The 25,018-nt window shown below is 41.9% G+C and overlaps 1 protein-coding gene across 5 annotated transcripts in view; it reads right to left on the reverse strand.

The window, feature by feature from the left end:
* The window catches only part of AAK1 (AP2 associated kinase 1), a 185,743-nt gene that overhangs the window by 89,902 nt on the left and 70,823 nt on the right, over positions 1-25,018 (reverse strand). For all 5 annotated transcript variants that reach the window (NM_001371577.1, NM_001426746.1, NM_014911.5 and 2 more), the window contains exon 3: positions 8,962-9,080. In NM_001371577.1, the coding sequence (NP_001358506.1) occupies positions 8,962-9,080 (119 nt within the window). The remainder of the gene's footprint in view (positions 1-8,961; positions 9,081-25,018) is intronic.

Genomic DNA, 25,018 nt, shown 5'->3' on the forward strand with positions numbered 1-25,018 from the left:
CCACACAATGGAATGAAATATTGATACATGCTATGACATGTATCAAGGACATGTTTTTAAGGATGAACCTTAACAACAATATGCTAAGTGAAAACAGACACAAGAGGTCAAATATTGTATGAGTCAATTTATATGAAATATCTAGAATATGCAGTAAAAACATGAGTGGTTATCAGGGGCTGTGGAGAGGGGGAATAAGGAAAGACTGCTAACAGGCTGGAAGTTTCCTTCAGGGGATAAGAAAAAAGTGTTCTAAAATTAGATAGTGGTGATGGTTGCACAACCTTGTGAATATACTAAAAATCACTGGACCGTATGCTTTAAAAGGGTAAATTTTATCTCAATTTGTATACACACAAAAGTAACATGACAGACTGGGAGGAAAATAGATTTTTTGTAAGTCAACACACAGGAGGAGAAAAGCATAAGGAAAAAAGATCCTTTGAGTAACACTGATCTAGAGCAACCAGGCAGCCCATATCTGAATCCCCACTACAGCCTTCTGACAAGCTTTCCTTCTTTTCTTTTCTTTCGTTTTCTTTGTTTTTTCTATCTTTCCTTCTTTTTCTTTCTTTTTTCCTTTCTTTTTCTTTCTCTCTCCTTCCTTTCTCTCTTTCTTCCTTCCTTCTTTCTCTCTCTCTTCCTTCCTTCCTCTTTCTTTCTTTTCTTTCTTTCTTTCTCTCTCTCTCTCTTTTTCTTCCCCTTCCTTCCTTCCTTCTTTTCTTTTGAGACAGTCTTGCTCTGTCACCAGGCTGGAGTGCAGTGGCACAATCTTGGCTCACTGCAAGCTCTGCCTCCTGGGTTCAAGTGATTCTCCTGCCTCAGCCTCCCAAGTAGCTGGGACTACAGGCATGCACCACCACACCCAGCTAATTTTTGTATTTTTAGTAGAAACAGGGTTTCACCATCTTGGCCAGGATGGTCTCGATCTCTTGACCTCGTGATCCACCTGCCTTGGCCTCCCAAAGTGCTGGTACTACAAGCGTGAGCCACCACACCCGGCCAACAAGCTGTTTTGTTAGAATAATGCCACTTCCTTAGGCCCTCAGCCAATCTACAGACAGCCCTCACCCGTTAGACAGTTCTTCCTTACCTATCTGGAATCTTCCACCTCCTGATTTTCTAGATGGTCCTTTCCAGAGCAAAATTAGCAAGTCTAGTCTATTTTTCCACTTTCTAAACAGGTAAGGCTGGGCTCGGTGGCTCACGCCTGTAATCCCAGCACTTTGGGAGGCCAAGGTGGGTGGATTACCTGAGGTCAGGAGTTCGAGACCAGCCTGACCAACATGGTGAAACCGCGTCTCTACTAAAAACACAAAAATTAGCCAGGCGTGGTGGCATGCGCCTGTAGTCCCAGCTACTCGGGAGGCCGAGACAGGAGAATTGCTTGAACCCAGGAGGTGGAGGTTGCAGTGAGCCGAGATTATGCCACTGCACTCCAGCCTGGGTGACAGAGTGAGACTCAGTCTCAAAAATAAATAAATAAAAAGTAAAATATAATAAACAGGTGAAATAGCATTATTTAGACTGAGTGTTCTTTTCTCCATGTGAAACATCCCCTCTTTCTCTGACATGGTTTTTAAGACCATTTTGGCTGCTCCTACATTTATATGCTTTGCTCTGCTACATTCTTTTTATAAGAATGGCCCCAGGAAATGAATGAAATACTCCAGGCTTGGTCTGACTCATGCAGAGTAGACCAGCACTATCACCTTCTATAATTCTATTAATGCAGCTAAACATTACATTCTTTTTGTCTTTTGGCACCCACATCATACTATACATGCATTCTGAATTAACTGACCACTTAAATACCTAAGTCTTTTCCACTCATGCTGCTTTTAATCTCTGCCTCCCAAGAACTATGCTTGTAAAGTTGATTAGAATAAAATTTCAAGTGTATGATCTTACCTTATTATTTCATTTCATTAGAATCAGTCCACTGCTCCAATTTATAAGAACCATTTTGGAGCCTGATTCTATGACTCAATGCAGTTACTACATCTTCCAACTTTATAAAGGCACATAATTGATCAATGTATCTTCTATTTCTTTAAACGAGTTATTTGTTAAATGTAAAATAACATAAAATTAATGGTAAGCCACAATGCTTTCTTTTTAGAAAGTTTCCTCCAGATTAATATCAAACCACTTATCAGAAACCTTTATAACCAGTAGCAATCCAGCCTAGACTCTTCGTTTTGCTGACAGATGTCTGGTGAGTGTCCTTATCAAAACACCTGGCCAAAGTCCACAGATACTGGATCTACTGCACCGCACTGAGCTCTCTATCCAGACATCTTCCCAAAGGAGAACAGGATGTTGTTATGACATGGTTTGTTCTTATTGAACCTGAAGGCTCTCTGGACCTCTGCTTACTCATCCAAGTAACTATAAAACAGCTTAAAATGTCATTTTTTTTTCTGAGATGGTATTTTGCTCTGTCACCAGGCTGGAGTGCAGTGGCGCAATCTCAGCTCACTGCACCCTCTGCCTCCCAGCCTCAAGCGATTCTCCTGCCTCAGCCTCCCAAGTAGCTGGGATTACAGGCGTGCACCACCATGCTCAGCTAATTTTTGTATTTTTAGTAGAGATGGGGTTTCACCATGTTGGCCAGGATGGTCTCATCTCTTGACCTCATGATCCGACCGCCCAAAGTGCTGGGAGTATAGACGTGAGCCACTGCGTGCCCGGCCTCTTTTTTTTTTCTATTTTAAAATTTTTATTTATTTATTTAGACAGAATCTTGTTCTGTCGCCCAGTCTGGAATGCAGTGGCACAATCTTGGCTCACTGCAACCCGCACCTCCCCGGCTCAAGTGATTCTCTTGCCTCAGCCTCCTGAGTAGCTGGGATTACATGTGTACACAATCACGCCCGGCTAATTTTTGTACTTTTAGTAGAGACAGGGTTTGGCCATTTTGGACAGGCTGGTCTCAAACTCCTGACCTCAAATGATCCACCCTCCTCGGCCTCCCAAAGTGTTGAGATTATAGGCGTGAGCCACAGTGCCCAGCCGTCATTCATTTTTAAAGTGTGTAATATATTAACATTCAAATAGTTCATAATACTAGACAATTTTTTTCCTACTCCAATCCCCATCCCCTATAGTGAACCACATTTATTGTTTCTTTCTTTCATGCTTCCTGTGTTTTTTTTTCAGGCAAATTCAAACAATTATGTATTATGTATACACACACACACACACACACCCCAACTTTCTTACACAAAAGATATAATCAAAGCATCTTTGAAAATAATCTGTGTTCTCACTTATAAATGGGAGCTAAATGATGAGAACACATGGACACATAGCGGGTAACGACACACACTGGGGCCGGTGGGGGTGGTGGAGGGAGAGAGAGCATCAGGAAGAATAGCTAATGGATGCTGGGCTTAATACCTAGGTGATGGGTTGTTATGTGCAGCAAACCACCATGGCACACATTTACCTATGTAACAAACCTGCACATCCTGTACATGTACCCTGGAACTTAAAAGTTGAAGAAAAAAATAAAATAATCTGTTCCAGATTCTTGTCCCAGAACAATCCTGAGCTTCCTACTGTACAGGATCTATCTTCCACCCTTTGTAGAATAAGAAACCATTTGCCTGCTTTGAATCATCTGATCTCTTCGAAGCAAATCCTCAAACATCACTGGTGGCAGCTTACTGTCCTCATTATCAAGCTCAATGAGGATGTAATCCATCTGGGCCAGGGGATGTGAACACAGAATAGCCTTGACACATCTGGAGCTGTAGCTATTTCCTATCACTGTTCTTACCCCTTTAGGTCTGAAGATAATTAATCTTTTCCTGCTTTCAGGCAAAGGGATCAGAAGTCCAAAACCTACCCTCCAAATGTCCATCAGAAGTCAGATCCCTTCGACTCTATCAGAGCACACATCCCATATGGATCAAAGAACTCAGACAAGACTCCAGTACATGGTGGACAGCATTTATCAAAATAAAACGTGAAACCACTCAGTGAAACCGCTAACAGTTCTCTTTGCGTTTGGATGCAACGTGCCCGTTGTTCTGCCACTGGAAGTAGAGAGGAATCTGCTTCTTTGAGTATGAACACCCAAACCTCAGCATATTACACAGCATGTTACATCTTCTGATTCCCTTCACAATTCTTAGAGTCACTGAGAGAGGTAGGGCTGGGGTTATGGCTTCTATCTGACAGAAGTCTGAGACTTAGTGGGCTTAAAAATGTTACATAGGACTTCAGATTTAAAACAGTAAGAAATTAAAAAAAAAGTGGGAAAATTCAGTCCATTTTAAAACTTATTTAGCTACAGTAATCAAGGCTGTGTGGTATTGGTAGAAGGATAGGTACATAGATTAATGGAAGGGAATAGAGAATAGAGAAAGGCCTGCAAATGGACCTTCACAATTAAGTTCAACTGATTTTTAACCAAGATATTAAATGACAGCCTTTTCAATAAATGGTACTAAGAGCAATTAGATATCCATAAGGAAAAAATGAACCGCAACCTAAGACTCATTATGCAAAAATTAAGTCAAAATGGCTAGCTGCAGTGGCTCAAGCCTGTAATCCCAGCACTTTGGGAGGCTGAGGCAGGCAAATCACTTGGGTCAGGAGTTGAGGACCAGCCTGGCCAACATGGTGAAACCCCATCTCTACTAAAAATACAAAAATAACTGGGCATGGTGGCGCGTACCTGTACTCCCAGCTACTCGGGAGGCTGAGGCAGGAGAATTACCTGAACCTGGGAGGCAGAGATTGCAGTGAGCCGGGATTGCACCACTGCACTCCAGCCTAGGCAACAGAGCAAGAAGACTCCGTCTCAAAAAAGAAAAAAAAAAACTCAAAATGGCTCATAGGTTTAAATGTAAGACTATAAAACTTAAAAGAAAATCTTCAGAATTGAGAGCTAGGCAAAGATTTCTTAGGTTTGACACCAAACGCACAATCCATAAAAAGAACAATTGATAAACTGGACTCATCGAAATTAAAAATAAAACAAAAACAAAAAAGATCTTAGAGATTTAAAAGTCTGGTAAATAAATTTCATCAGGATGGTTGGAATATAGAGGTGAGGAAATCTGGAATGTGGAGCAAAATGACAAAGAAATATAAAAAGAAGGGAGAAAACAAGAAAATTAGAAAATCAATTCAGGAGAACCAATATCCAAATTATAGAAATTTCAGAAAAAGGGGAAAAAAATGAAACTAAAAAATCCCCCAGAATGCAAGGATATGAGTTTCTAGATTGAAAGGGACCACAAACACCTAACATAATAAATAAATGCATACACAAAGGCATATCATGAAATTTCAGAACATTAGAAACAAAGAGAAAATTTGTAAATTTCCTGGTAGAATATATGGGTCACTCCCAACGGACTAGGCATTAGAATGACTTAGGATTTCCCAAGAGCAACACTGAAAGCTAAAATATAGTAGAACGGTGCTTTAAAAAATCTAAATGAAATGATTTCCAACTCAGAATTCTGTACTCAAACTATGATGTGCGAACATAAAATAAAGATACTTCTAGAATTGAAAGTTGTTTTTTTTTTTTTTTTTTTTTTTTTGAGACGGAGTCTAGCTCTGTCACCAGGCTGGAGTGTAGTGGCGTGATGTTGGCTCACTGTAACCTCCGCCTTCTGGGTTCAAGCGATTCTCCTGCCTCAGCTTCCTGAATAGCTGGGATTACAGGCACGCACTGCCATGCCCAGCTAATTTTTGTATTTTTAGTAGACAAGGGTTTCCACCATGTTGGCCAGGATGGTCTCCATCTCCTGACCTCGTGATCTGCCCACCTTGGCCGCCCAAAGTGCTGGGATTACGGGCATGAGCCACCGTGCCCGGCCTAGACCTGAAAGTTCAAAAAAATTTATCTACCATGTATCAAAAAGCTACTGAGGCTGGGCATAGTGGCTCATGCCTGTAATCCCAGCACTTTGGGAGGCTGAGATGGGAGGATCACTTGAGCTCAAGAGTGTGAGACCAGCCTGGGCAACATAGCAAGACCTTGTCTCTAAGGAAAAAAAAAAAAAATAGCTGGGTCTGGTGGCATGTGCCTATAGTCCCAGCTAGTGGGGAAGCTGAGGTAGGAGAATTGCTTGAGACCAGGAGATGGCGGCTGCAGTGAGCTATGATTGTGCCACTACGCTCCAGCTTGGGTAACTGAGACCCCATCTCAAAAGAGAAAAAAAAAAAGATACTGGAGGATCGGCTCCAACAAAATGAGGAAGTTAGCCAAAAAAGGAATTACGGGTTCTAACAAAAAAGAGAGGCAAAGGAAATGTCCAGGAAATTCCAAGATTCGACTGTAAATTAGTCAGAGAATAATCAGCCGAGGTTCCTCAGTCAGAAGACTGAGGGAGAAATCTTGAAGATGATAAAACAGACACCATTAAATGCGTCTAAAAAATTCAAAAAATGGTTTACACAACTTAAGGAAAATTGGGAATTAAACTGTTAAAAAGTACAAAGAAAACTCAGACCAAGAGAGGAAAAACAAGACCATTAATAATTTTAGTGAAAGCAAAGTTACATAGGAAAGGCATAGGAATCATAGTCCACCAGGAATTCAGTTGAAATAGTTTTCTTATATAATAATGTAAAAACTAATATTCATATAAACTACATATTGCCAAAGTTTACTGGTGTTTTCAAAGAATGGAAGATGAGAATACTGCAAGTATTTGGGGAGAGAGGCAAGCAGCAAGTAAGTGACAGTTACGTCTTTACTTCCCATAGGAGATAATGCCTAAAATGGAAGAAAAATCAAGAACTAGCAATATTAGCATGTTATTTAGAAAGACATCAAAAGAATCACCTAAAGAGGTTGCCGCTGGGACCTTGTAATGGCATAGGAGTTCCCCTTGGGGAATTGCTTGACGTTTTTTGTAACAAGCTTAGTTCACCTATTTGAATATTAAAGCTTTGAAAGAATATAAACTAAAAACAAAACTCTCACAGCTAATACGCCTCTGGGCCAAAACTTGAACCTGTGTGATTTAACTCTTAATCAGGCCCATTAATTTGTGAGCTCCTCATGGGCCTGTGCTTCTTAGTTCCTCCACTACAATGCCTGCCTAGCCCAAGTAAGCTCTCAGTGTGTTTTTAAATAAGGAGGAGAAAGTGAAATCATGGGATTGCTTTTGTAACACAAGTAAATGAGCAAGAAGGGCATTCCAGATAGAGGAAACAGCAGAAGCAAAGACAGGAAACAAAGCGTGTGAGAGCTGAACAAGCATGGGCAAGGAGGGAGGAAGACAAATAATGAGAAGCAGCCAGAAAACCCACTGCGTGTGTGAAGGAAGATACAGCAAGAACAGGAATCTGGAGCTATGTGCAGGGGAGTGGAAGGCATTGGTGCCTTACAGACAGGCCCACGTGGTCTTGACTGTATGTATATGGCCCTTGGGAGTTGGCTGGTTTGTTGTGCAGTGCTGACAGTTCCTTCCCAAATAGTTTTGGCTTTCTAAAATCTAGAGTAGTGCCAGGCTCTCTAACACTCTGAGTACTTTCAGAAGTCCAACTGCAGCCTAACTAGTTACTCTAAGCAGCCACTGAAAAGGCCACATAGGGTGAACAGGGGCAAGCGGAGCCTGATGGGATACCTACAATGCCACCCTCTCCATTGTTGGATCCCTTTCTGCTCTTTAAAAAGCATTAAAATCCAGGGCATAAAAGGAATCATCATCTCTAGGTGAACATATGTATCTGCTATTACCATTATTCAAATACTAATTTCTTCCAAAGTTTATTAAGCATTTACTTCATGTCAAGCAGTATGTTGGAGCATACAATTTCTGATTTTAAATAACTTACTTCCTGATAGCAGAACTGCTTACAATATAACAGGTTAAGCAATATAATTGGTATAAAACAAAAGCACTGTGGAAGCACAAAGGAATAAAAGGCTATATATTCAAAGTTTCTTATGTATAATTATGTATAATATTACATATTATTATATTATTAGGTATAATATTATGTATAATGTCAAACAGAGGTAAAAGAAAGATGCTACTCTAACAAATTCCCATATACTCATAATTCTGCTTTGATCACCATCAACTCTTGACCAATCTTATTTATCTTCTAAACTCACTCATTGTTCTAAGGACATTATATTATTTCCTCCATATATATTTCAGCATGGACTCTTTCTTTAAACATATAAATCTGCATCTTGAAAAATGAGTAAGTTTTAAGAATTGAAGTCTAATTAACATAACAAAATGTGCAGATTTTAAGGTGTTCAATTGAGTTCTGACACATATATACCCTGTGTAACCACTATCTAAAACAACACACAGAACATTTCCACGGCCTAGAAAGTCCCCGTATACCCATTTCTAGTCAACTTCCCACCCCTGAATAACCACGTTCTGATTTCTATCTCCACAGATAATGTTGCCTGTTCTTGGACTTCTATAAATAGATTCATAGAGTATATATGAGGTTTCTAGGTTTTGGTCTAGGTTTCCAGGCCAAAAAAGGGGGAAAGCATTCCAGGTCGAAAGAACTACATGTAAAAATATTAAGTTGTATAAGGATATGTTCACAGGATTTTGAAGAGCTCAGGAGGGTTGAACTGAGACTGGGGATTGGTAACAGAGAGAGAGAGAGACAAGACCAGAAGAAGAGGCTCATTGGAAAGTTAGGCTTTCTGGATTAAATATCACAGTTAATTTCTGGGAACCATGTTGTTAAGTAAGCTTTTCCCAATGCCCAAAATGACTTTTCTGACCTAAAAACTGGTCAGTTCTCTCAAAATGCTTTTTCCTCTGCCCTCCAGCTGAGAGTGACCAAGGCAAGGGCGGTGTCCTATATCCCATGGCTGTTGAGTCCCATTTTGTACAGAGGCCTCTGTACCATCTCAGGGAAGGGAACAAACCCCGCTTGGCTTTCTTATGAGAGGGTACAATCTCTGCCTCCATTTTAAACAGTCCCAAGTCCAAGGGGCAGCCTTACCATTATCTGGATTTCTCTCTTGCACACCTGGAGATCATGCTCATTGTTGACAAACATGCGTTTCAAGGCACATTTCATCCCATTGCTTGTCCTCACCAGAAATACAATAGCAAATCCACCTGTGAGAGAAACACACACAAGCTCTTTTGAGTCAATGTTCAAAAAGTCAGCCACATAACTGTGGTGGCTGGAGGTTGCCACTGTCACTGCTAATGGTACTAATGCCACTGCCAGCCAGCCTTTAGGGCTAGCCTGTTGTAGAACACATTCTTAGATTCTCAGAACTTGGAGATATTACTTGTGGGAGTGGGTGGCAAGAGTCAGAGAAATTGTTCCCAAACACCTATCTTAGGATAACAAAAGAATAGTAATTATTTTCCAAATAACCTACAAATAAACAGATAAATGGGTAGTACTACATTACAAGTACTATCCTATGTACTTTTTTTTTTTTTTTTTTGAGACAGGGTTTCCCTCTGTGGCCCAGACTGGCATGAAGTGGCGTGATCACTGCTCACTGCAGCCTTGACCTCCTGGGTTCAATCGATCCTCCCACCTCAGCCTCCCGAGTAGCTGGGATTACAGGTGTACACCACCACTCCTGGCTAATTTTTATACTTTTTTGTAGAGAAGTGCTTTTGCTATGTTGCCCAGGCTAGTCTCAAACTCCTGGGCTCCCACCTTGGCCTCCCACAGTGCTGGGATTACAAGCATGAGCCACTGTACCAGCCCTGTCTTGGGTATTTTGATGCTCTTGTTTAATTCTTAACACAGTTCTGTGAGATTGGGTGTTATTTTCCCCTTTAAACAATTACCAGCTGAAGAATACAGAGGCTCAAAGACATCTGATTCAAACCAAAAACATTTTTAAAAGCATAAGTGGAGCACACTTTCCCTCATACCAGAGAGGCTAGGAAATTATTTCACTAATTTCTATTATAAATAGTTGTCAATTAATTTCAAGAATCTCCTCTTCTTTTCTTCTCATCCTATCACTCAATTCGAATCTAGAAACAGACCTAAAGATTCTTCCGGACCTCCCTACCTCCTGGGCTGTTGAGAAGATACATGATAAGGGTAAGAAAGTGCTATTCCACATAGCATACACAAGGCAAGTATGACAATTATTGGGGAGACTTTTTAATGTCCACACTGACCTTTCTCTAAAAGACAGTTCACAATTCATTAACAGAAATATATAAGCCAGGTGTGGTGGCTCATGCCTGTAATCCCAGAACTTTGGGAGGCTGAAGCAGGCAGATCGCTTGAGCTCAGGAGTTCAGGACCACCCTTGGCAACATGGCGAAACCCTGTCTCTACAAAAAATACAAAAATTAGCGAGGCATGGTGGGCGCACACCTATGGCCCAGCTACTTGGAAGGCTGAGGTGGGAAGGATGGCTTGAGCCTGGGAGGTGGAGGTTGCAGTGAGCTGTGACTGCGCCACTGAACTCCAGCCTGGGTGAAAGAGACCCTGTCTCAAAAAAAAAAAAAAAATGTATATAACTCTACAGGAATTCTCAAGTGCTCTAAATTTGTTACACCACAGCATTCCCCAAATTCTTAGAACCCTAACCTCATCCTCACTCCTAAAGCACTGTATGAGGTGTTCAATGCCATTGGTGACAGGAGTTAGACAAAGTGAGGCAAAGCTGTCAAAGTTGAAGGCTTTGGAGTAAGTAGCAGTTACACTGGACGCTCAGTCCATCTGCCTGCCTTGTACATTGTCATCATTTAGCTTGAATATCCTGTCCATTGACTCTGTTCAGCAAAAAAATCAGTATGCCATTCTTGCACAGAGGTGGTCACTAATTGTATAGAGGTGAACACAGAGGTAAGTCTTCAGTATGGGAATTTGAATTGGGGTTATGACATAGTACTGGGTTAGGAGCCACATGCAAAATTGATACAGATCAATAAACAACCATTACAGAGATCTTAGGCCTCTGAGAAATAAAGCCTCGGGTCCTGATTATGCCCTTCTAATTCCCCCAAGGCTCAGCGGCACTTTAGTACCTGTCTGTTGATGCCCATGGCATTTCCTGCTGTATCTTTACATAGTTATTCTTTTCAAGTTAGCTTGAGTAGGTTTTTGTTCCTTGCAACCATAAAGAGCCTTTATCATAAAGCACTATTGCACGTTTTCATAAAATACACACCTAATTTTGTAAAAAGAAATTTAATGGGCTTCAGTTCCGAATGTGGACTGTGATAATGATTTACCAGAGACTGCATGTTTGCATATTTCCTGTTACAATGTTCCTCAGTATTCAAATAAACACTAAAATTTATCATATAATCTTTAATTTTAACTGTCATCTCTCTAATCTTTGTATCTCAATAACATTTTCCATTTTCAAAAGTAGCATTGACACTTAGAGGTCTTATCTATCTCTCTCTCTCTCACACACACACACACACACACACACACACACACACACTCTCTCTCTCCTCAATTCTAAAATGCATGTTTTTTACATTTTGCTTTTTAGGGTATCAGAATGTCTTGTAATAAAAATGTGCATTTAATGCAGTGGTATTTATCTTTTCTTCCCCCCACCCCCTGCCAAAGTTATTAAATCCATGATGTTCTCTTATAATTAATCAGAATTGAGGAAAATAGTAGTGTAAATTACAAAATTTCTATGTATGTTCATAATTGTTTTGTAAATAGTATAAGTAGGATTCACTTCATTGATATTTAGAATTTTTTAAAAAATCACGGAACTACAGACTTCACAAGAGTGGCACTCCTAGAGAGTATTAAGTCCAAGTGTTTTGCTTTATGCATAGACAAACCAAGAGAGGCTTAGGAGTCCCATGGCTAGTTATGGGCAGAAGGTGGGGTGGTTCTCTCTCCTATAAAAACCATGTGATACCCTTTAGGTAATAAGGAAACAGCTGACAATGTTGTGAAACAAAAGGTGGGAATAGGTATTTCCTACAGTTCAATGATGCCTGTCACTGCTGAAGGACAAGGCAACTCTTTCAGATGCTGCAATTTGAGATAACTACCACCAGATGGGAGCAGTGTAGTTTTCTTTGTAGGTAGCAAGATGACCTTTACAGCCAGGACTGAAGAAATGGGTCAGTCGCCTACCATGCAATCCAGTAAGCACAATGGCTGACAAGAGCCAGCCCAGATTCTCAAAGCCTATGACCATGATAAATCTAAAAGCAAATCAGTGAATCACTTTACTTAACACAGATGAAGCCACATTGTCAAGCATCTATGCCTATAAAAGGGCTTATCTGCAGATGAGAAGCATTTAAATCACGAGATCAAAATCCACGCCTAACAGGACTTGTCAGTCTAAAGATGTTGGTCACTATCACTGTGTAGTTGGCCAAATGGAGATGTAAACTAGGTTAGAAGAGAGGAGATAGTGCCATTCAAGATACTTCTCGTGCACAGCCCTGTCTGTCACACGGATCAGGGTGATGAGATTCTCAGCCAGAGCTTAAGAGGGTTCAGGCTATTACGGAAGGAGGCTGTCAACAGAGAAGACTGTCAATAGAGATGTTTATTTCAGCCTGAGTTGCATCCCAAGATCTAGATTAAAAGGAAAAACCTAATGGTTTGGACAGAGGTAAGAAAATCTTAACATTCAGTAGCCTGTGTCAGTCTCTCTGCCTACTGGCATTTTTTGAAACACTCAGATAATCTCATCTGTGAATCTATTGAATCATAAAGATAAAAAGGATATGATCTATTATGTGAAGCAAGCAAGTGAAGTAGGCAGGATAATTTTGACACAGACATGCTTTGCCTATTAAATATGTAGGATTTTTTTTTATGTCCAGAAGAAAACACGTTTTCTCCCATTTTCCCTAAAATATATAGCATTTTTGGTCTTTCTCCCCCTAATTGTTGATGGAGATGTGGATGGCTATTTATAGCTCACCATGAGTTTAGAGGTTTTGTCTGTTTGGTTTGCCTCTGGATTGTCATGCCATAAAATAGTGTTTAACACACAGTGAGCATTCAATAATGAACTAACTCTCTACTTAAGGTGTCTACAGAAGACAGAAAAGGCTACATACAGATAGTAGCAGAGAATATGGGAAACGAATGTGATGGCTCATGTAATGGGATGGCCACCATGCAACTCCAGATCATTGTTGCCATGTGGGAATATGGACCTGGTTTTGTCGGATCTGCTAATTTCTAAAGATGAGCTAGAAACCCAAAATTGTATGTGAAATCTCCACATTTAAACACTGGCAACAAGTCACCTTTTAAATTAATGCTGTTCAGGTCACCATAGCACAGAGGCCAAAGAAAACACATCTGAAAAGCTTTAGATAATCTCCGAGCCTCCAGTTTTCTATGTCTGATCTAGTCTAACACCTTCATTTTACTCAAAGCCAAGAAGGGGAAGTGACACAGCTCATGTTCCACAAAGTTAAAAGATGATTTGCAAATGAATTCCAACATATATATAAATATTAGCTCAGACATTCATCACCACAGTTCTTATCTTTCTTCCCTCAAGATGAGTTTACAGAATACTCCTCCCACCCAGCATGTGTATACGACTTATTTTAAAGGCATTTCAAAATAAATTATTTCATTTGTATTCACACAATGACTGAATAAGGTAGGCGAGCAACCTATCATATTCATTTTCCCAACAGGAAAGACATGCAGAAAGATTAAGTTCCTTTCACAAGAATGCACAGAGCTAGTTGGTGGCAGAGTTCAGATAAGATCCCTCATCTTTAGAAATTTTTATTTTTATATCAACTTCATATATTATACAATCCACCCATTTTAGGTGTACAGTTTGATGAGTTTTCGCAACTGTATATACCCGCACGAGTGGCTGTGGCGACAGCCAATCCATCACTGCAGATAGTTCTTCAGGTACCTTTGCAGACAATCTCCCCTCCCCTCCCTCACCACCCCGTGTATTAAATAACTTTGGATCTGCTTTCCATCCCTATAGTTTTGCTTGCTCTAGAATAAATGGAATCCTACAGTATACACTGCTTTGGTCTGGCTTCTTTCACGCAGCATAACATTTCTGAGATTCATCTTCATCGTTCCATGTAGTTTTTGTTTTTTTGGTCAACTAGTATTCCATTGTATACATATTCCACAATTAGTTTCTTCATTCACCTGTTGAAGGACATGTGAATTTTTTCTAGCTTTTGGGTATTATGAATTAAACATTCATACAGAAGTCTTTTTTATGGACATAGATAATTATTTCTCCTAGGTATGTACCCAGGAATGGAATTGTTGGGTCATATGCCAAGTGACTATTTCCCTTTATGTATAAGAAACTGCCAAGCAGTACTCCACAGTGGTTGTGCTATTTTACACTCCCAGCAGCCACATACGAGAGTTCTGTTTGTTCCACATCCTTACCAACACTTGGTGCTGTATTTTTCATTTTAGCTATTCTAGTGGGTGTGTAGTGACATCTTGTTGTGGTTTTAATTTGCACTTCCCTATAGATCCTTCAACATTTAAACTCCTAGGATTAGCAGCTTCCCATCACTTTCCTGATAAAAGGTTTTAATAAGCATAGGATCATGGAGTCACCAATGAAATTACTGAGATAACTTGGACTTCTACCTGCTAAATAAGCAAAGATGACAGAAGTGCCTAGTTCTTTGCTGGGAGAAGACAGTGAGTGAGAATTTGCAATACACAGAGGAGGGTATTACATAAATTCTAAAATCTCTTTTACTTCTGATATCAACATGAGATCATGGTCTTCAGACTTTTAAAAAACAAAGACAGGCCAGACACGGTGGCTCATGTCTGTAATCCCAGCATTTTGGGAGGTCGAGGCGGGCAGATCACAAAGTCAGGAGATCAAGACCATCCTGGCTAACACGATGAAACCCCGTCTCTACTAAAAATACAAAAATTAGCCAGGCGTGGTGGTGTGCGCCTGTAGTCCCAGCTACTCGGAAGCCTGAGGCAGGAGAATTGCTTGAACCTGGGAGGCGGAGGTTGCAGTGAGCTGAGATCGCACCACTGCACTCCAGCCTGGGCGACAGAGCGAGACTCCATCTCAAAAACAAAACAAATAAACAGACAAATTAGCCAGGTGCACTGGTGCATGCCTGTAGTCTAGGTACTCGGGAGGCTGAAGCAGGAGGATTGCTTGGGCCCAGGAGGTTGAGGCTACAGTGAACTATGATGGCACCACTGCACTCCAGCCTGAGCAACAGAGCGAGACCCTCCCTGTCTGTAGAAAAATAAATAAAGACAAAGATTTAAACACTCTCCTTGGGGGCGTCACCATGATATTCAATTCAGCAATGGGGCTTTGGAAGAAGAAGCAAGTAGTATATCTTCTGGCTCTATATTCAAACACTGAATCATGGTAGAGGGTGCCAAGTCCCAGGGGCTGTTCTGAATGAATCAGGACACCAGTGACTTCCACTTTGCAAGGAAAAGTGAGGGAAGGGAAGGTAAGGTGAGCAGGAAGAGGAGAAACACACCAAAGTGATTATCTGAGAAGTGATGGGAAACAGCTGGGCAAATAATGAGAATGATTAGACTAGGAATATGAGACAAAGAAGCCCATCATGGTGCTGAGACAGGGTTTCTGGGTTTGCTGCCAAAGAGGTTTGCTGGATATTTTAAAATCAGGCCTAGATTCTAGGCACTGAAATCACCAACTGTTTATTTCTTGCAGGTAAAAGGAAACTGCACTCCTAACATAAGTCCTATATACACTTTTGGGAATGAAGTCCACTTGTCTGAGATGGAAAGATGACACAAGCCAAAAGAGCTGGAGGATACCAAATGAAGAAAAACCGCATCCAGGCCCATTTTCTGCTCTTCGTTTTCCAATTTTCTGCCCTACAAACTCTTTGTTTCTCTTTTAAAATAAGGTGAAACTCAACAGATGCTGCTTACTTAAAGCAGAAAACAAGCATAAAATAATAGTGTTCTGAAGCTTTTCTAAGGAATCAGACAGATAATTCAGTTAAAGTGGGTTTCATCCAGGAGACGTAAATGAACACTGAACAAGTTGCTGGATCTCTCTGGCCTTCATTTCCTCATGGGCAGAAATTAAGACTAAATTAGGCCAGGCGCGGTGGCTCACGCCTGTAATCCCAGCACTTTGGGAGGCCGAGGCAGGTGGATCACGAGGTCAGGAGATTGAGACCGTCCTAGCTAACATGGTGAAACCCTGTCTCTACTAAAAATACAAAAATTAGCTGGGTGTGGTGGCGCATGCCTGTAATCCCAGCTACTCGGAAGGCTGAGGCAGGAGAATTGCTTGAATCAGGGGGTCGGAGGTTTCAGTGAGCCGAGATCACGCCACTGCACTCCAGCCTGAGTGACAGAGTGAGACTCCATCTCAAAAAAAAAAGAAAAAAGAAAAAAGAAAAGAAAAGAAATTAAGACTAAATGAGTGCTACTATTTAAACTGGGTTCCTCCAAGCCCTAGGATTACAGAAGGTACTTCAGTGGCTGCACGAGGAAAAACTGACCTCCCTCCCTTACAAGGGTAGGGCTCTGTATACTGCTTCCTCCTCACCTTCAAAGTAGCTCTACTTTTAGCTGTGTAATTTTGGAGAAAGGCTAGAAAAAAAAAAAGGAGCAATTCTGCTACAAAGGAGAGAAAAATTTACCCCCCAAATATTCTACAGCTCTAGGTATAAGTATTTTATAAAGACAAAAAGACTACACCACTACAAGTCATGCAAATAGCCCTCACTTACATGCCTACCGAAGGTGTAGATGTGTACAGGCAGCTTTTAGGGAAGGAGCTATGCCCCGCTTCACCTTGAGACATGTAGTATTCCTTTAGAGCCCAACAGGTTAAGTTCGAATCCTGGCTCAGGTAAGCTACAATTTCCCTGAGGCTGTCCTCTTACCTGCCAAGGGCTTTCACTTCATGCTAAAGCCCTTCTTCTGACATGCAGGCTATCTGACCACGTGATTGTATCAACCAGCCCCTAGGTCATAGTCCTTCAATCAGGACTGTGCACCAACTCACAATATCCTCCCCACCCCCACTCCTACCTCAAAGCTTTGGGGATGATCAAATGATAAGCAAAGCACCTAGCACACAGAAGGTGTTCCTGCCTTTCCCTTCCACCCCCACCTCCCTGCAAAAACCACTTTGTATTTGTATGATACATTACTTATCATAAAATTCTAAATCTGGAATATCTTCTCGAGATCAAGAGCACAAACCCAAATGCCTGAAGAGCCAGGGAGATCACATAAAGGAGTGACACAGTCCAGCTTTAACAAAACGTATGGAGGGTGTGTGATGACACAGACTCACTGTCAGGAAGATCACAGGGAGGAGTGGGGCCGGTGGCCCTGAGAAAGTTCATGCCCCTGCTCATGGGGCAGCCATTCCTCAATGCCAGCCAATTGCTGTCACGAAGGAACGTGGGCTAAGAGTTGTCAAGTCTTTTGACTGCTAAAAACAGCTGGATCTTTAGGTGAGAGCTCCTGATTTAAAAATCAGGCAACAAACTTTTAAAAATCTCTTAAACCTTGTGCAGTTTAATGAAAACACATTTCTAAGCTAGGACTGAACCAGACAGCCCTGCTTCCATCTTTACAAGGGCCTGTGAAGTCAGCAGGTCATGTACTACAACCTCCACTTGACCAACTGGGAAACTAAAACACAGTGAAAAGCCTAAGCATCCTCCTTAGTACTGCCACCTAGTGGCCGGACCAGGGCTAGACTGCAAGGGTGCCAACTGGTGTCCCCTCTCAAGCTGCCGTCCCCTCCCTGCAGCAGCAGATCATGCAGGAACACCTCCACTCCCAGGGAAGGGAGAAGAGAAATGGCACAGTGAAAGGCAAGAGGGACTGCCCACAGCTCTGCCTGTCTAGCTGATCAGGTGGGAGAGTGTCCTCTCCATGGTGAGAGCTTGGGTGTACCATTCAGGTGGCAGAGTATCCTCTCCACGGTAAGAACCTGGGTGCACTATTCAGGTGGGAGAGTGTCCTCTCCACAGTTAGAACCTGGGTGCACTATTCAGGTGGCAGAGTGTCCTCTCCACAGTGAGAGCTTGCGTACACTATGCAGGTGGCAGAGTGTCCTCTCCACGGTGAGAGCTTGGGTGGACTATTCAGGTGGCAGAGTGTCCTCTCCACAGTGAGAGTTCGGGTACACTGTTCAGGTGGGAGTGTGTCCTCTCCATGGTGAGAGCTTGGGTGGACTATTCAGGTGGCAGAGTGTCCTCTCCACAGTGAGAACCTGGGTGCACTATTCAAGTGGGAGAGTGTCCTCTCCATGGTGAGAACTTGGGTGCTCTATCCACAGCATCTGTGAGCTCCCACAAGGAATGACCCCCAAGAGGCTGATCAACACCCATCCACAACTTACATTGAAGACAACTTTGCCAAAAGCTTCGGAAGGAACAAAAGTTTTCAAAACTCTAGAACAGATGGCAAGGAGCACAGCAAAGCTTTTTCCAGGAGAAAAGGTCAATGCAAAGCATGTGTCAACACTGATTTCAGTGGGGGCTTGGGGTTTGTTTTTTTAATGTCAATCTCTCCTCACTTGCCTCAATTAAAAATCATCATGTGCCAGCTCCTTCTGGAGAACATGTCAAAGCAGTCCTTTCCCCAAGCAGATAGAACACCCAGATGGGGGATGACTTGAGGTTTTCAACTCCCTCTCTCCCCACTCAAGCTGTGGGCACAAAATCAGAGACTGGCAAACGGTGGTGGTTGTGGAGGTGGTACAGAAACATCAACAGAACCCAATCGAGGCCACAGCCCAGGCTGAACATGGCACACTGGCCTGGCTATTGGTTCTTTCTCTCCAGGACTGTTATGATTGATTGGGGAGGATCTCCAGCTCAGGAGGTTCTTTTTAGGGGTTTGGCAAGAGTCTCCCTCCTCCTCTCAAAAATTAATTTTCCAGGAAAAATACTTGCCTGGAACAAAAGGGAAGAGTTTAAGAAATCAAGTTGGTTCACATATACCAGAGACTTTTTGATTACTGCACCTAGAACCACAGCACATTGGGCCTGGGCTATCAGCTAAGGCTAACCAAGAAAGGGCCTTTCCACAAGCTACCCGCCCCCACCTTTGCCGTACTGCTGCCACAGAGTTAGCTATCTGGCAAATGTAGAGAGATATGCTGAAAGACATCAGAAACTTAATATCATTTGAAACTTCGCAATGGCTTCTCACCCCTCTTAGAATAAAACTCCAAATACTGACCAAGGCCCGCAATTCCCAGAGTGATGTGGTCTCTCTCCAACCTAGCTCATACACCTCCACCTTCCAGTGCTCACTCTGTTCCAGCCACAAGAGCCTTCTTTCTTCTTCAGCATTGCTTATGCTCCAATCTGCCTAAGGATCTTTGCACATGCTTCTCCCTTTGGCCCTTTCACCCCATTCTTGGCCTGAGCCACTCCTAGTAATCATCCTTCAGATTTCAGGCTAAACGTTACTTCCTTGCTAAGCCTTTCCTGATGGTCCCTGGCCCTCACTCCCATATGATTAAGTTCTTTGGTATACACAGCACCCTCTACTTTCCCTCCAGGACATACCATGAATATAATTAAATACTTATAGGGTAATTCCTGGTTGCATGCCTTCTTCCCCTGTACACTCTAAACTGCACAAGGGCAGGGACGATGACTGATTCACTGTGGCATCTCTGTCACCCAGCACAGTGGCTGCTCCATAGCAGGTTCTCAAGTGTTTGTTATACAATGTGTTTGCTGAGTACCATAAAGGATACCAATAAAAAATTTTAAAAAAACAACAAAACTACAATGACAGCAACAACAAAAACCCTTACCAGACCTTCAGAAGGTTAGAGTCTAGTATGGACTAGAAGGGACATATATTAAGAGAACATCCTCTTGGTGAAAAGGTAGAAAAACCCTGCACTGCTCAGCCTGGCACAACTGAGCAGTGTGAGACAGGACTGAACCCTTCACCCCAGGGCAAGTGCTCAAGGTGGAACTTTAAGGGGAGCTTCACAGAAATCTCTCTGCTGTCACAATAATAAATACTTGTCCTACACACTATTGCTTCTTTCAAAAATAATAATTGTGCTGGAAATCAAAACGCTCTTCAGTTGAGAGGGAAAAGAAATGAAACACCCCATGCTCGATCCTGAAGCATCCCTTGCCTAAAGGAATGGAGAGCCTCTTGGGCATAAATTGTGCTCATCCCTCTAATCCACCGGGGCCACAATCTCCTAGTAAGTGATGAGCAAACAGAGCAGCAGAGGTCAGCCGGAGGGAGCAGCATCGGTGCTCACATGTGTCAGTCCCCACCCATGCTACAGACCTTCAAGCTGTGGCTCTGATCATTTCAACCAGGACACCATATGTTAGTGGATTACATTCTCCAAAAGAGAATGGGAGACTCAGCAAAGCTGAAGTTCCGGCTGACATTCTCTCAGCTCCCAAATGTTAATTCGAGAACATTCCAGTTCAACTTCATGCTTCAAAGCTTACACAGTTTTCCACACTTACTGCTTTTGTAGAAAGATCGGGTTAAGTAACTGTGAATCCTGAGCACTTTCTAGTGTAATGATGTGAGTTTAGTAGCCAGGTTATGGAATACGCACTGGCATCAAAGGTATATAAATGTTTTCAACTTTTTTTTTTTTTTTTTTTTTTTAAGACAGGGTCTCGCTCTGTTACCCAAACTGGAGTGCAGTGGTGCAATCATGGCTCACTGAAGCCTTGAACCCTCAGGCTCAAGTGATCCTCCCAGCTCAGCTTCCCAAGTGGCTGAGACTAGAGGTGCATGCCACCACACCCAACTAATTTTTAAATTTTTTGTAGAGACAGGATCCTGCTATGTTGCCCAGGCTTGTTTTCAACTCTTTAGGTTTCCTTAGAACTGGTCTCCAGACACAACTACTTTTTCCAGGTCATCCTATTCTGCCCTGACCCTCCTATGTTCTGAAAGATGGGCTCTCATGCTGGAAAGCAGGCTGACGTTTTCTTAGCTCCCAACCATTAGTTACAGAGCATTCTAACTTAACTTCGTGTTAAAGCCTTTCCTCTGACATTCAGGCTATCTGACCACACAACTGTCATCCATCAGCCCCTAGGTCGTGGTCCTTCAATCAGGACTGGGCACCAGCTCACAATATCCTCCCCACCCCAACTCCCACCATTGCCAAGTTGATTTCACTGAGTCTTAAGAATTCTATCCCCAAACCCAGAATCCATCCCTTCTACTGCACCCCTGATGCCCCTTAGCTCAGGCCTTCCTCTTTTCTTACTGAAAAACTAAAATAGAGTCATAAGTTTCTGTGCCTCCAGTCTCTTTCTAAAACTTGTATGGAATGACTCCTCTTAAAAGCATTCATTAGTCCCTTCGAGCCAGAGGAAAGTCCAAATTCCTTAATGCAGCAGAATATAAGAGCCTTTATACGTTTCCCCATTTTATTATGAAAAATTTCAAACATACAGTAAAGTTGAAAAGATCAAACTGCAAACATCCATACACCCACCACTTGTAGAATCTACAAGTATTAACATTTTGCTATACTTCTTTTATCAGCTGTTTATCATCCATCTATCCAAACATCAACTCATCTCATTTTTGATGCATTTCCCAGTCAGTTGCAAACCTCAGTGCACTTCCCCCTAAATACTTCAGCATACATATCTTTAGTATTCAGGGTTCATCATTCTTTTTGGGGATGAGGGTAAATAAAATTTATTTACAGTGAAATGTACAAATCTTCAGTGTGCTATTGGATGAGTTTTGGTAAGTGAACACACTCAGGTAACCCAAACCCCCATCAAAATATAAAATCTTTCCATCTCACACAAAGTCCCTCAGGCCCCTTTCCAGACAATCCCACCCAAATCCTCCCATAGGCAACCGCTGTTCTGATTGTTTTCATGTATTATTAGTTTAGCCTACTTTAGAACTTCAGAAAAATAGACTCATATGGTATGTGCTTTTTTGTGTAAGGATATTTTACTCATCATAATTGTTTATGTTGTTGAATGTATTAGTAGTTTGTTAATTTTCATTGCTGACTAGTGTTTCATTATTTGAATAAATCTGTTTGTCCTCTCCCTTACGGATGGACACGTGGGTTATTTCAGATTGGGGCTGTTATAAAGAAAGCTCTAAGAGCACTGTTGTACAAGTCTTTTTGTGCCATATTTTTATTTCTCTGGGGTAAATACCTAAGAGTAGAAGTGCTGGGTCACTGGATAGGTATATGTTTAATTTTATAAGAAAGTGACAGAGCTTTTCTTATACCAACAACGTGATTGTACCATTGTATACTCCCACCAAAAATGTATGACAGTTCCAGTCCCTTTATAATTTGAATATTGCCCTTTCCTCACTCAGCCTCATCTCTCAATACTCCCTCTTCCTCACCTCTGCTCCTCCCAACCCAACAAACTTTCAGAACTTTAACCTTTTTGCTGCTTTATTCTCAGGAGGTTCACACATGCTGTTTCCTCTGCCTGGAATATCCTGTCTCAGTCTTCTGCTTGACAAAATGAGTTTACAATTGTTAAAATAACACCTCTTCTGCAAAGTCCTCCCTGTCCCTGCCAGTCACCCAAATTTTCAGATTACCATACATGTGGCCTGAAGCTCTATTTTGTTGCACTTATCATAATGTATTGTGATTATCTTGGATGTGTTAATCTCTCCACTAGACAGACAAGGCAAAGAGGGAACCACTCTTTTCTGCCGTAGAAATGATACTTGTTATTCCTACCAGTGTAAGGATTTTGGATACTGTGAACCTATAAAAACAACATTCTAGGCTGTTCTCTAGGTAGGGCACCTGAAAAATGAGTCACCAAAGAAAATAAAACTAGCAAGGAGAGCTTCTTATTTATCTTGGAATCCTCAGGGCTAATACAGTGCTTAGCACGTGGTAGATGATTAATAGATGTTTGGCAAATTAATAGCACATCCAATCATGTTGCTTCCCTACTTATAATTCTCCTCTAGCTCTTGATCATCTACAAGATTAAATCTCTTAATATGATGTACAAGGCCAATCATAATCTGGAACCCACAGTGAACTCCTGAGAGTGCCTGGCCAGTGTTCTCTGATGCCTCTGTGCTTTTCTGTATGTACCCTGTACTGGAATGTCCATCCCCTCTTTAACTGGTAAACTCACAGCTCTAAGTTTGGTGTAGATCAAACCAGGACTTCTCTGTGAACTTTCACCCAACAGAATGCCCACCCCCATGCCCACCTTGATTTTTTTACCCTGATTATATCCCACTTGTATGCATTCTAGTCTTTCTTGCTAGGACTATATTCTCTCACAGGGCAAGGATTTTATTTTTATTCATTGTACGAAACACATTGGCCTAGTTTATCATACTCTTCACCCTATGCTAAAATAATGATTAGAGATGTATTATGTCAAGTGATCCTCTTTCCCTCCCACAGCTAACTGGACCAGGAGAGGACACCTGGAGTGCATTCTCCCTTGAGAATCCGAAGTGATGACCTAGGAACTGTAATCAAATGGTGCTACACAACCATGTAGACTAGGCTGATGGCTGCTACTGTCAGCCATGTGTGTTCCAGAGAGACAGACAGAGAGGCAGACAGAAGAAAGACCTGGTAACTTCCAACACCCACAAAATCTAGCTTCACTTCCTGCTGTTGGGTTCTGGGAGGTTCCCTTGTACTTATCCAATACACTCCTTTTTACTTAATCTAATCTGAATTAAATTTCTGTTCCTTGCACCCAATGACTCTAAGTCACCTTGCACCAATATGTCTGTAGAACATATGAGCTCAATAATATGAGTTTCAATAATTTTAACAATTACAGGCTTTAATAGAAACTACCCAGAACAGAGTGTTAAAATATAATACTAAAAATTACACTTGATGAGTTAGAATTTTTAAGATAAGGACTAGATTTACATTAAAACAGTACTTGCATTAGTATACTGAGACCAAGGAAGAAAAATGGTCAAATACCTATTTGGGAAAGGACAGACACAGAGAAGTGGACAGGGGTACATGGCTTGCACTGTTACCTTTCTTGAGCTGACGGATCAGTGTTAGGGAGGACAGGAGCCAAGATCTCTGCCACTCAGAGCACTCATTACCTGGGAATGTTGTGAAGATGGTTTTCACCTGGGATTATCAGAAAGCAATCACAGAGAAGAGGATTAAGCCCTCAAACGGGAGGAAACACAGGCTGGAGTCTTTCATATCAGATGAAATAAAAGCCCAGCCACAGACAAACCTGGCAAGGCCTGTGAAGAAGGTAAGTTTCCAAGAAGGACCAAGGAGCATGCCAGCACCAACTGATGAACTGAATTACATCAGGGGAAAACTTACTCCACCTTTGGTGTGAAACCAGGGTCAGGACTAGGGTGAGGGGAGTGAGGCACTTGCCCTGAGCACAAAGGGACAGACTCAGAATTACTGATTTTTTCTTGGTCTTGGGCTGCAGGGTGGCTGAGCACAACACTGTTACTGATCCTGTCTTTATTTTAAATTCTAATATTTTGTTCACCATGGTTGTTTGCATTAATTTTTATTTTTAAAAAACTGAGGCCAGGCATGGTGGCTCACACCTGTAATCCCAGCCGAGGTGGGCAGATCACCTGAGGTGAGGAATTCGAGACCAGCCTGGCCAACATGGAGAAACCCCTGTCTCTACTAAAAATACAAAAATTAGCCAGGTGTGGTGGCACACAACTGTCATCCCAGCTACTCGGGAGGCTGAGGCAGGAGAATCCCTTGAACCCGGGAGGAAGAGGTTGCAGTGAGCCGAGATCATGCCACTGCACTCCAGCCTGGGCAACAAAAACGAAACTCTGTCTTTAAAAAAAAAAAAAAAAAAAAAAAGCATACAAATATTCTTTATCTTGATTACTGAGTCTTGAGTGCCCCTTAAATTCTGCACTTGAGGCGAGTGGCTCACCCCAGTCCTGGCTGTGTGAAAATGCTGTATGCACAAGAGAGAAGTCTGCCCAGGCACTGATCTCTCTGTCGTCCTCTCACTGTGCTTCCAAAAGACCTGAGAGGTCAAGACATTCCTCCGGGTAAACAGAAACCTAGTGACTCCAAGGAAGTGAGAGCTGGGTAATAGGAAGAGAAACAAAACTGAGGAGTCAGTTT

Source organism: Homo sapiens, chromosome 2, assembly GCF_000001405.40.
Source record: "Homo sapiens chromosome 2, GRCh38.p14 Primary Assembly".
In the NCBI taxonomy this organism is placed as follows: domain Eukaryota; kingdom Metazoa; phylum Chordata; class Mammalia; order Primates; family Hominidae; genus Homo; species Homo sapiens.